Source organism: Homo sapiens, chromosome 2 (assembly GCF_000001405.40).
Source record: "Homo sapiens chromosome 2, GRCh38.p14 Primary Assembly".
Classification (NCBI taxonomy): Eukaryota; Metazoa; Chordata; class Mammalia; order Primates; family Hominidae; genus Homo; species Homo sapiens.
The window spans coordinates 226,894,413-226,907,484 of record NC_000002.12 but is presented as its reverse complement, the minus strand read 5'-3'; the positions used below and the strand labels follow the sequence as shown (position 1 = coordinate 226,907,484).

The 13,072-nt window shown below is 42.1% G+C and overlaps 1 protein-coding gene across 39 annotated transcripts in view, besides 1 other annotated feature; it reads right to left on the bottom strand.

The window, feature by feature from the left end:
• RHBDD1 (rhomboid domain containing 1) overlaps positions 1-13,072 on the bottom strand; it is a 199,052-nt gene that overhangs the window by 91,726 nt on the left and 94,254 nt on the right. For 37 of the 39 annotated variants that reach the window (XR_007082541.1, NM_001349069.2, XM_047445998.1 and 34 more), the window contains one exon: positions 604-692. Coding sequence is in view for 38 of the 39 variants with exons in the window: in NM_001349069.2 (NP_001335998.1) it covers positions 604-692 (89 nt within the window). In the remaining variant the exon portion in view is untranslated. Of the gene's footprint in view, positions 1-603; positions 693-11,556; positions 11,842-13,072 lie in introns of those variants that run through there. The other 2 variants (XM_047446007.1, XM_047446006.1) reach the window with 1 other exon arrangement.
• Positions 2,489-2,638: a silencer, noted in NCBI's record as "silent region_12395". NCBI's record gives its function as "represses an Ori minimal core promoter by ATAC-STARR-seq in GM12878 lymphoblastoid cells {active_cell/tissue: GM12878}" and the evidence as "EXISTENCE:reporter gene assay evidence [ECO:0000049][PMID:35858748]".

Sequence of the window (13,072 nt, the reverse complement as noted above, 5' to 3'; positions counted from 1 at the left end):
GAAAATTAAGAGGTCTAAAAAATACAAGTATTTCTAAATGAAATATTTTCATTGAGTATCAATTTGAAGGGAAAAACAAAATTAAAAAAAGCAGGAGCTAAGCTTCAAGCAATAACAGACTTGGTTTCGCCATGCATGAATATATGGCTCATCCACCAAGGACCCGGTCATCAGTCTGAATTCTTTAAAATACTGGCCATGCACTTCAGTCCAGGCTTTGTTTTCTTTTTCACCTTTGCCTTGCACGTATATTAATTCATGGACTATTATAGAAGAATGCATTATTTTAAAGGCACTTTAGTTCTCTGCATTCTTTAGGAAATCGTGGTTTTCTGCGGGTAGCATTAAGGTTGAGGGTATAAATATATACTGATATTTGTCCCCTAAGAAAGTATCAGATTCGAAATTTAAGTTTGCAGCCTCTTTTGTGGAGCAATGTAAGGAACTGCACTGGTTGTTTTACCTTTCGGTTTAAAAAGAAAAACAGGCATATTAGGGAATTCTTGAGCTGAACCACAGGGAAACTTGGGGTTGCTTCTGTTCACATTAAAATTAACATGAACTTCCAAGCTGTTGTCATGCCAAAGGTGTTTTATTCTGTACCTGCACATGCTTCCATGATTTTCTTCAGAGGCCCTTGAGTGTACATTAGTCCAACAAGAATCCCAGCCAGATGCCCAGCGAAGGAAGTCCTAGGAGGGAAGGAGACCCTTTGTGAGTGTTTGTTCTGCTGCTGATTAGAGACATTCTGTCTTCTCATTAGCCCAGTGCATGTCAAATAGTCACAGTCTGCAGGCTTTGTTCCACATCAAGTCTTTTATGCTAAGCAGCATTTAACTCAGTCCAAAGAACAACATCTCCTACCTTAAAAAAAAGTACAATGAATAACAACCACCACATGTTTAAAACGCAACACCCCTCCTTAACCAGGGGAAGTGGGTTGTCTCCTCCAGAGCAGTGGAAGCATTTGGTCAAGACAAGTCATTACATCGCTTTCCGTTTTTTTTCTGTACCTCTTATCACAAAACATAAATAAAATCAGTTTTCTCTGTTTGGCATTAAATCTGGAATTATCCAGCCATTGTGAGGGATGATGTCTATCTGTGTTATGGCAGGGCAGACTGCTGCAGTTTTCTACACCATGGATGAGTGAAGCAGAGAGCAAGTGAAACTCAGCAAAAGGAACTGAGATGCCCACCTGCATCCACCAAAGTTGTCTTCATGTGTATGTTTCAGTCACTCAGAACAAAGAAACATACATTTAAATTTCAAACTTGAAAGATGAGTTAGGGCATGAAAGTGTTTGCGTTAGGGCATGACAGTGGTTTAACTCTTCTTAAACTGGCATCTAAAACCAGCAATTACTTGTAAGATTTATTTTCAGAGGTCTACTTTGACCCAAGTGGCAACACTCTTTGTGGAGTTCCCTGGCTGAATGACCTCCCAACCAGCCTGAGTTTAAGAAATTACTGGCGATTCTCAAAAACCTCTGCTGTTACCACAAAGGGGGGGGTCCTACACAACGAGTTGTTCTTTAAGCACTTGACCTCAATTTCCAGCTGCCCGCCACCCTCTAGACACCCCCGCGCACACATGCACACATCCACTAGCACCTTAAACTAGACTTTTCTGGGGTGCCACTCCCACTTCCCGTTTGTAATGCCTCTCATACCCCTCCCAGCCTTCCCATTCCTACTGCCACAACCATGCTTACTGCCATCTGGACTATTTGGAAATGCCCAGTGTTGGGCACAGAGTGAACCCCAGATGAATGTGTGTTGAATGAATAAAATAAATGAAAGAAAATCATCCAGCTGGTCTCCCTGCAAGCCAGCTCTTGCTCTCCAGTGCATCCCACACACGGCCATCAGTTATCCTCCTGAGGCAGAAGGCAAGTGGTGTCATTGCCATCCTCTGAAATCCACTGGTTCTCACAGAATACTCCGGTGTGTGTTTAAGCCCTTCCAACACTTGGCCTTGCCCATCTCTGCAAAGTCAGAGGGTGGAGACCTCATCGTCTACTACCTCCATTCCCACATGCCCCACTGTCACATCCCCCAAGCACTCTCTGACCATAGGCTAAGCCAAACAGCACCTCTGTCAAAAAATGCCACCCCAGTTGAAGAGCCGTTCTTTCCTTCTCCTGCCTCCCCTCAGAGCTGAGGCTCCTACCTTATTCTGGCACGAAGCCAGTCTGCTGGTGGCACAGTACTTACACGTCTGCCTGCCTGTCCGTCTCTCTCTGTCACACACAAACTCCCTGAGGGCAGCAATGGTGTCTCATTCATACATTATACAAAATTAGAAGCTTAAAAAAAAAAAAAAGCCAAGCAAATGAACGCATTCCCACAGCCTGGAATAGTGACCTCTCATTCCAGAAGGTGGGAAACTGAAAGTTATGAAAGAGCCTGATGGAGACTCCAAGAACATAGCCTTTATGTGGCTTTTACATATGTATTCCAAACACCCAGGACAGGGCCAGGCACATGAGAGGCACTCAAGGATATGTTGAGTAAATGGCTCAAGTGTGCCAGGACCGTTTCACCAAGACCAACAGGAGGTAAGTTAAAACCACTAGATGTTCAGCTCAGGGTGCTTGCTGAGCCACGGCAATCACAGAGCTAAGAATCCGCCATTTGGTAACCTACACGAGACTCAGAGTCAAAACCAATACATTTCGCCTACTATGGCAGCAGCCTAGGGGAGATTCCCTGAAACACCACAAGCAAGATGGTTCTGAGTAATTTTCTTTGTCTCCAAGCTATGAAAAGACTCGCTGGCTCTCAGGAAAAGAACATGCAATGAGGAACACTTGAAAGAAAGAGACAAACAGGAGCCTTGTAAAGAGAACAGCATTGATGCTTGTTCCCATTAGCTGACTAAATGACACTATTGCCCAGACAAGCCCTCACATACATGCACACGTGCTAAAAGTCATGGCACATGCATGCGCGTGCACACACACACAGACACGCACACACACCACATACACGATCATCCCCTCAGGAGAGCATTATTTTCATCAGATATATCTACTGAAACAGGAGTTCCCTGACCCCCCTCCCCCCCCGCTTGCAGGATGTGCCACAGTGGTGTAACTTGTCTGTTTGGTGACCGTGCATGCTTAAACCCCTTACGGGAAGGGGAGCACACAGATGGGCAGGTGCAGGAGCTGGGATGAGTGCCCCTAGGCTTCAGCCTCACGGCAACGTCCAGGGGTGTGTATCTGCGACTCCTGAAACCCAAGTGGGTGTGTGTTACAGTGCGCTCTTTTAACCTTGCGGTCCACAGGCAGCTTAAGGGTTAGACAGCTCAGTGAACCCTCTGCCTTTCCACAAAGGCAGAGGGCCAGTGTGAAAGTTTTCTGTTTCCCTGTTTCTTCTCTGGCATCCAGGAAAAATCAGATCACACGTGGACTTGAAGGATGAATGTGGGGCTTTTATTGGGTGATGGAGGTGGCTCCCAGTGGGATGGATGGGGAGGTGGAAGAAGGATGGAGTGGGAAGATGGTCTTCCCCTGGAGTTTGGCTGTCCAGTGACATATCTCCTCTCCGATCATGTCCAGGTAAACTCCCTCTTAGCATTCAGATGCTCCTTCTCTCTGTTGCGCCGTTCTGCTATTCTTCTGCTCTTCTGTTCATCTCCTTGTCTCCTTCTGGAGCCTGGGGTCTCAGGTTTATATGGATACAGGAGAGGGGGGTGTGGTGGGCCAATAGGCAGCTTTTGGATGCAAAAACAGGAATGCCTGTTCCCATTTAGGGCTGTGGGTTTCCAGGCTTGAGGGTGGGGCCTTTGCTGGGAACCGCCCTCTTCTACCCACTGTTTCTGCCTCCTGTCCGTGTCACTACTTCATATAATAAAATTATGGGATTGAACATTTTTTCCCATTTTCTGGCAAGAATAGTAGGAACTATGCTTTTAGCTCCCCAGCCAAGCTAAGAAATTCTATAGTCACCCCCCATTATCTGCAGACCCCCAACTGGATGGCTGAAACCACAGATAGTACTGAACCTTATATATACTATGCTTTTCTCATCTCATAATCATAACAGCTACTAAGTGACTCACGGGTGGGTAGCAGAGACAGCATGGACACACGGGGCAAAGAGATGATTCACGTCCTGGGTGAGACGGGGTGAGATTTCACCATGCTATGCAGAGCAGTGTGAAATTTAAAACTTATAAATGGCTTATTTCTGGAATTTTCCATTTAATGTTTTTGGATCAAGGTTGACTGGGGCTAACTAAAAATGCAGAAGGCAAAATCACAGATAAGGGGGACCACTGTACTTATTTTATTCTATGCTCAGGCTCAGTACAATCGGCCACCTATTAATAGTTGTAAAAATGACAAAGAAAGTGGCAGTTTGAGAGATACAAAGAAGTGGCCAGGACCAGTTAAAAAAATAATAATAACTTCAATTTAGATGAAAAGAATATAATAATATTGGTATTTCTGAAACTCTGGTTTCAAATCAACCTTCATGGTGAAGCATATATGATATAAAATAACATAGAAGGAAGTTTCAATTTAAAACTTCAACCTATTAAACAATTAATCTTGAATCTCATTTACAATTTAGAGTACAATACAGTGAAATGAATTTCTTATCTATCTCTAAATGGTTTTCAGAAGTTTGAGTTATAATCTAATTGCCCTAATATAATTTCAAATATCTAGGGAAGGGAGGCTGGCAGTCCGGAGAACTCATTGCGTCATCCTCCAACATTCAGCATTTTCCACAAAAGTTCCATCTCAAAAATTTAACTGGTCTTGTTTCATTTAAGCTTTATAAAAGTGTTCAATTTTAAAATAAAAATGAGATTATGATCTTATTCAATCAAAACTGAGAATCTCTCAACATCACACACATAAAAAAACAGGAGAATGAATTTCACCAATGTAAAAGGAATATAAAAGTCATTTTAAGAGGTAAATTAACTTTCTCCATGCCCTTGGTAACCATTTGACAAATCACTTCCCTTCACCCTCTAAGAGATACCCACATCCTGAGCGAGAAGATAGATGGACCTGCAGACAGGGAGAAAACTGAACTGGGAAGGTGGTTCTCACCAGTCCTAGGGTTAGGGCACTTTACCCCTGAGCTGGGGGTGCTGTGGAGACAGAAAGAAGCCCTGGGCTTTGGGGGAAGATGATCCATCTGAATGCTCTGATCAGTGGCTGGGATCTACCTTCAAACGTAACAGCATCAAAACCAGACAGTATTGTTACAATCATAATTAGATGTGTTAAACAGAAGTTGTGAAGCTTGTGGTCTCTGAATAAGCCTGTGGCTTCATTCTGTTCTTAGCTCCACGTGGAAGATGCCATCCGAAGCAGCATTCAGGGACAATCCTGCAACTAGGAACAACTTCCTGTTGACCTTACTAGGTCTTAGGCTAGGACTGGGGATTTGGTTATGACCTACCACCCTCTATCCTATTCAGAGTAATTCCTTCTGGGACAGGACCACCACCAACTCTACATCCATGACCACAGCAACTACAGTAAACGGCCTGACACTAGCACTCAGTACGTAACTATCAGATGAGAGGAAGAGTGGAATTTCAATTACACATAAAATACATGTATCTAAAATACACTGTATTAAAAAAATCACAAGTTACATTTGTATGTCTCTTTTAGAAAAATGTCTAGTCAAGTGCTTTACTCATTTTTCAATTGGGTCATTTATTGCCAATGAGCTATAGTTCTTTACATATTTTGGATATTAGTCCCCTATTAGATATATGGTTTGCAAATATAGTCTCCGTTCTGCTGGATGCCTTTTCATTTTGCTATTTCCTTTGATATGAATGGGCAACAGGTACATGAAAAGCTGCTCAACATCACTAATCATCAGGGAAATGCAAATCAAAACCACAATGAGATATCACCTCACATGTGTGAGGATGACTACTATAAAAAATCAAATGATACAACAAGTGTGGGCAAGGATGTAAAGGCAACACTGATACATTGTTGGTGGGAATGTAAATTGGTTCAGCTATTATAGAAAACAATACAGAGGTTCCTTACAAAATCTAAAAATAGAAATACCATATGATCCAGCAATTCTACTTCTGCATATATACCCAAAGGAACTGAAATTAGTATTTCAAAGAGATATCTGCACTCCCATATTCATTACATCATTATTCACAATAGCCAAGATAAGAAAACAACCTAAGTGTACATCAACCGATAAAGAAAATGTGGTATGTATACACACACACGCATACACACACAATGGAATTTTTATTATTCAGCCTTAAAAAATAAGGAAATCCTGCCATTTAAGACAACACGGACAAATCTAGATGGCATTTTCCTAAATGAAATAAGCCAGATACAAAAAGACAAATACTGTATGATCTCACTCATATGTGGACTCTAAAGAAGTCAAACTCATAGAAACAGTAGAACAGTGGTTGCCAGGAACTAGGGATGGGAGAAATAGGGGGATGTTGATCAAAGGCTACAAACTTTCAGTTATACGATGAATAAGTAAGAGAGCTAATATACAGCATGGTGAGTAGAGTTAATAATAATACATTACATTGTACACTTGAAATTTACTAGGAGAGTACATCTTGAGTGTTCTCACCATACACACAAAAATGCTAACTACTTGAAGTAACAGATATATTAATTAGCTTGGTCATGGTACTCACTCCACAATGTGTATGTACAACAAAAGATCACATTATACACCTTAAACATATACAACATTTATTTGTCAGTGATGCCTCAATAAAGCTGGGGGGAAAATACAAGTTGCACATGGTCACCAGTTAATACTTGTTTTAGCAGGAAATCTCACTGGTATAGATAATGACTGAACACAGCCTCCCCCTGTCCACCCCACTACATACGCTTGGACAGTGTATTACACAAAATATATGTTCAATTAACAAAACAATAAATATATTATTATATCCTAAAATTGGTAACTTAAAAGCTTTATTTCTTCTGTTAGCTTAATAGTGACTCTCTTTAGAAAAATCGTAACTATAATCAAATACTGACTGTGATACTGACATACAGTCACAGGGGCCAGGCACACCACTGCTGCCTTTAGCTACACAGATCATACAATGCACACTCAGACTACAATGAGAAGAAAAATAATTTTTCCAGGGTCACAGTGATTCTGCAAGGTAACCAATAACGTCACGATTCAAATTCAGATCATGTATCTCAACTTGAGAGCAAGGTAAGTATTGATGTAATTTCACTTTAATAAGGAACAATAACTTAATCCAGTAGTTCTTAAACTAATTCAAATTCCAAGTACCTTTAAGCGCCTGATGAGAGCCAACAAGCCTGTCTTCAGAAAAACTGTGTATACACAAAGTGCGTTACCTGTAATTTTAGGATGTTCATAGATACCTTGAACTCCATCCATGGACCCCTTCTTAAAAACCCTTGATTGAGGTGAATAATTCATCACAAACAAGAATTTCAGACATCAGCACCAAACCAAAGTAATTCTGTATTTAACTGGAAAACATCTTGCTAGTACTCAAATCATGGCGGCACAGAGGAAGCCATTTATTCTGATTACTCAAGTTCATTAACTTATTGTCCAAATTCCTTGTTGTGTCATTGCTTCTGTAATGGTGCAACCTATTTCTGGGTTCAGTTTCCTCCTTGCCAAAATACAATGTTTCATAGTTCTTTCAGTTAATATTTGAGAGTAAAAAATTATCCTAGTCTCTGTATGTCCTAAAAGGTTTTTATTTCAGCATCCTATTTTGATGACAGGTATAGGATCTACTGCTGCTGATAATAAATGTACTGTCAGTTGGAAAGTCATTCCTCTGTAGGCAATCTGTCTTTTTCTTCAGTTTTCAAAGATTTTCTCTTTATTTTGGACATACTGTCTTTATACCACAATCACTGTAGCTAGTTGCAGATTTATTTAACCTGCTAAGATGTGCTGTGTTTTTCAACATGAGGTCTCATGTGCTTTTACAATTCTGAAAATCCTCACCCATTATTTTTTGTCCAGTGGACCTCTAGATATGCAGCACTTGTGTATTTCCTGACACAGAGGGGGTGCTCAATATATGTTTACAGAAAAAAATTTTAATAAAATATGAAAGGGTTACAATCAAATCAATGTTGCTATACATTATTTATATGGGATAGTGATAGTAGAAAGGCAATTTTGGAGCAAAACTAAGATTAAGATATTATTGTGGATCTAAGTTATGCAAACTAAATACGAATATTATTAACACCAACAGACAGTGTTCTTTCCCATCAAGCCAGCTTAAGCTGCTCCTCATCCATTTAAGAGGCTATTGTAACGCTGAGTTAAGTGGTTATGCAAAATGTTCCTGCTCTCATGTGCCACTGTGACAGAATCAAAAACTGGATCTGTGACTGAAAGCTGTGACAAGCTATAAAGGCCCTCCTCTATTAAATGGCAAATTCTTTCCACAGTTGAAGAGGTTGTCCTCTCAAGCATAGCTCAGAAAGCAGAAAATGTAATACTCTAAGACATAATCTCACAATGTATGCAGAGCAAATGACCTCATTAAGGACGCAACTTGGAGACACAGTGTTGGACAAGGTAAAGGAACAAGGTAAGGTAAGAGGCAGTCAGCTAGAAGTGGCCTATTGTACTCTCCACGATTTCTTCCTGTAAAAGCAGTTAATAGCAGGTAGGGGCTGCACTGATCAGAAGCTCTGGGGTTTGGGGATCTTAATAAATGGTCCCAGATTCGCAGTACTAGCAATGAGATGTAATACAAATTTTTCAGGTTTTTGAACACTAAGGCCACTAGGAAAGATTCTGACAGGATTGCTTCTTCTTAACAGAAACTGTTTTTAAACTTCTTGTTTTCTGTCCTTGATGCCTCCTTCAACCATGATACCAGCATGATTGAATGACCTGGTCTACATGCTCTCTACCATGCATCCCTTGCTCCCTGCACCTTTGTCCTCAGAAGTAAAACCTAGCCATCTTCCAATATTATGTGCCCCAAAGGCAGCTATACTGACAACGCACCCTCTACAATCCATGATGATTTATTAAACATGGCACCAACTGCAGACACGGGGATAGAAGCTGACCACTGACATTTACTTGAGGTCCAGACAAAAAGAATCTGGACAAAAACAAGGGTATTGCAATAGCAGAAGCCTCTTTTACAAAAGAGCTTCCAAGATAACAGACAATGTTTAGCAATTCCTTGGCTCTCAATTCCATGTCCCTACGCCTGCTAATAAGACAATTCCCTGAGCTGGTTCAAGTAGGTCGCATTCTGCCATGGCTTTGAGGTTTGTCCCCTCCAAAACTCATGATGAAATTTAATCCTCCTTGTAGGAGTATAGGGAGGTAGGGCCTAATGGGAGGTGACTGGGTCATGAGGGCAGATCTCTCATGAATAGATTAATGTCCTCCCTTGCGGGTGAATGAGATCTCACTTTTAATAGTTCCCGCCAGGGCTGGTTTTTGTTTGTTTTGTTGTTGTTGTTGTTGTTTTGTTTTTTGAGACGGAGTTTTGCTCTTGTTGCCTAGGCTGGAGTACAATGGCGCAATCTCGGCTCATTGCAACCTCTACCTCCTGGGTTCAAGTGATTCTCCTGCCTCAGCCTCCCGAGTAACTGAGATTGCAGGTGCATGCCAACACACCCAGCTAATTTTTGTTTGTTTGTTTTTTTAGTAGAGACAGGGTTTCGCCATGTTGGTCAGGCTGGTCTCGAACTCCTGACCTCAGTGATCCACCCGCCTCGGCCTCCCAAAGCGCTGGGATTAAAGGCATGAGCCACCACACCCGGCCCAGAGCTGGTTCTTAAAGAAAGCATGGCACTGCCTGTCTTACTTCTTCCTCTCTCGCCATGTGGTCTTTGCACAAACTGGTTCCCCTTCACCTTCCACCATGAGTGGAAGTAGCCTGAGGCCTTCAGCAGAGGCTCAGTTTTGAACTTTCCAGCTGGTAGAACTGTGAGCTAAATAAACCTCTTCTCTTTATAAATTACCCAGATTCAGGTATTTTTTTATAGCAACACTAAATGGACTAAGACATATTCATTCATTCACTCATCAAATATTTAGTGACTATTACACTAACAAGACAAACAAGGTCCTTACCTCCTGGAGCTTAAAATCTAGAGTGGAGGAGACAGATGGACAGACAGACAGACAGACAGACAGACAGACACACACACCTCAAACTGTTAAGTGTAAGAAAGCAAGTCTACTTTACCCAGAACTGTCTGGGATGGCTTCTCAAGGAGGTGTCATTTAAGTGGCACTGCAGGATCTGGAGCTAGCATGCTCAGAAGTGGGAATGGAAGATTCAGGCAGCTACAAGCACATATGTAGCAGCTTGAGGCAGGAAGAATTTGGTATTTTAAAACATTCAGATGGCCAGGCACGATGGCTCACACCTGTAAACCTAGCATTTGGGAGGCCGAGGCAGGTGGATTACCTGAGGTCAGGAGTTCGAGACCAGCCTGGTCAACATGGTGAAACCCCATCTCTACTGAAAATACAAAGATTAGCCAGGCATGGTGGCACGTGCCTGTTGTCCCAGCTACTTGGGAAGCTGAGGCAGGAGAATCACTTGAACCCCGGGGACAGAGGTTGTAGTGAGCCGAGATGGTGCCACTATACTCCAGCCTGGGTGATAGTGGGGACTCTGCCTCAAAAAAAAAATTTTTGAGATAACTAATAGTAAGCAAGAAATATGGGCACAGGGTGCTGCACGGATTTAGAAACTCACGGTACATAAGGCCTGTGTGCCATGTGCCTTATGTGCCATAGTAAAGAACTTGAGTTGTTTTCTAAGTACAATGGAAGGCCACTGGAGGATTCCAAACAGGAGCATTTTTAGGAGTGATCTATTCCACCTGCTGAGAGAACAGACCCTAGAGAAGTAAGAATGGCCAAATTAAGCAGAAGACAGGTAAGGAGAATAATGTAGTCCCGGTAAAAGATGATGGCAGCTTGGAAGGAGGTGGTGGCAGTGGATTACAGAAATATTAATACTACTACAACAGATCTTGATAGGACTGCTTCTATTCCAGGGAAGGGTAATAGATAGATCTGGGATGTATTTTGGAGGCAGAGATAAAAGGACTTGCTGATGGACTCAGTGTAGAGGGTGAGGGAAAGGAAGAAATCTAGGCTTCTGGCTTGTGCAACTAAATGGATAGTGGAAGCATTTACTGAGATGCAGAAGATTGGGAAAAGGAAAGGCTAGGGTGAGAGACAATGCAAGAACTCAGTTGTTTTCTTTGCTTTGAGAGGCCTATGAGACAACAAAATAGAGACATCTAATCAGAAGGTAACTAGGTCGCAAGTTGGAAGCTGAGAGGGAAGAATGATTCAAAATGTTGCTCCCATATTTCATGTGTTGATTCCTAGAATAATTGTATACAGTTATAATGTTACATATTTATACATATAACATATTATGCAGACACACAAATATACATAAACATATCTAAAAACAAGATTTAAAGGAAATACATAAAAAATATTAATAGATAATATGTGGGGAAGGTAACATCCCTCTTATTTTCCAAACTTCTTATAATAGTGTTTCAGTAATTTCATTTATTTTTAAATGCAAAGGGAAAAGACACCGAGCAAGGCTCTCATTTTAAGAACAGTACTTCTCTCATCAATGTGGTGGATAAGCCTAAATAGTTTTGCTGTTGCTGGGGTGAGTTGTTAAGAACACCTTCCTCCATTTGGCACAGGCAAGTGTTTCTAAATAGTGCTCTGGATGAAAGTCATAATCATTAGCTTTGCAGTATTACTAAGCTTCTTTAGGATCTGTGTTGCTATTCAAATCTTCAGAACAAAATGGCAGGTTGTCCTAAATTAAATAAAAGCAAAGGTAAGTGAAATCACACAAAATAACTGGACAAGAATCTCCCCCGACTCCCTTAATTGGGCACAGAGGTTAAAGAGTCAGTGAGATTCTGTGAGGTTAGTGTTCTTTTCCTCAGACACTTCATGTAACCAGACACATCCTAGAGTTCCCTACCCTGTATCTTCTATATTCCATGCTGAGTAGCTCCCACCGACCACAATCCTCTCCATCTTCTCTGCAACACCCCTTCCCACCCACACCCCAACCTCTTAGAAAAGTGGTCAGGAGCACAGCTACTGGGGTGAGACTGCAGGGCTGACTGCTGCTAGGCAGCAGGAGAGCTCAGAAAGGTTCACATGGCCTGCAAAGGTGTTAGCCCAGCAGTCTACCCCATGGTTGCCTAGCTCAGGCTTCACCCTGGCTCATGTAACCGTGCCCTCATCTAGCCCATTTTCACCACTGTGACAAGCGTGTCTGTCTAACCAGCAAACCTGATCCTAGCCCAGAAGCCCTTTGGTAGCTCCCCAGTGTCTCTACAATAAAATGCAAGCAAGATTTGTTAGGCTCTTCATGGACTTCTGTCTGCCTCTCCAGCCTTCTCTCTCCCTTCTGCCAGGGCTCAGCCCTACCACACCCTGGGCTCTAGCCACTCACCAACGCTAAGCATCCACCCTTCAGGACTTTGTATGTGCCATTCCTTTTGCCCTCCATGTCCCCCAGCTCCTGATCATCCCGGGCCAGTGTGACCACACTCCCTCAGGACTTGGCAGAGGCTGCTCCTCTGGATACTGCAGTGGCCTCTGTGCTCCTCTAGCATGCTAAAGTTTCCCTGTCCATTGATTTGTCTGACATCACCCTGCTACTTAATCCGGTGACTTTCAACCCAATCACACCCAATACCACCTTATAGCCTAAATATTTTGTAATGTTCCTTCTTGAAATAAAATTTGTGAATAACACATCTTGTACACTTTGTGTACACAGACACATATACAAACACACAATCACAAGTCAACATAATATCCTAGCTAAAAAATAAGAATAAAAAGTAATAAAATAAAATATTATGAATTATAGGCTGGGTGCAGTGGCTCACGCCTGCAATCCAAGCACTTTGGGAGGCCGAGGCAGGCAGATCACTTGACATCAGGAGATCGAGACCAGCCTGGCCAACATGGTGAAACCCCATCTCTACTAAAAATACAAAAATTTGCCATGTGTGGTGGTGCACGCC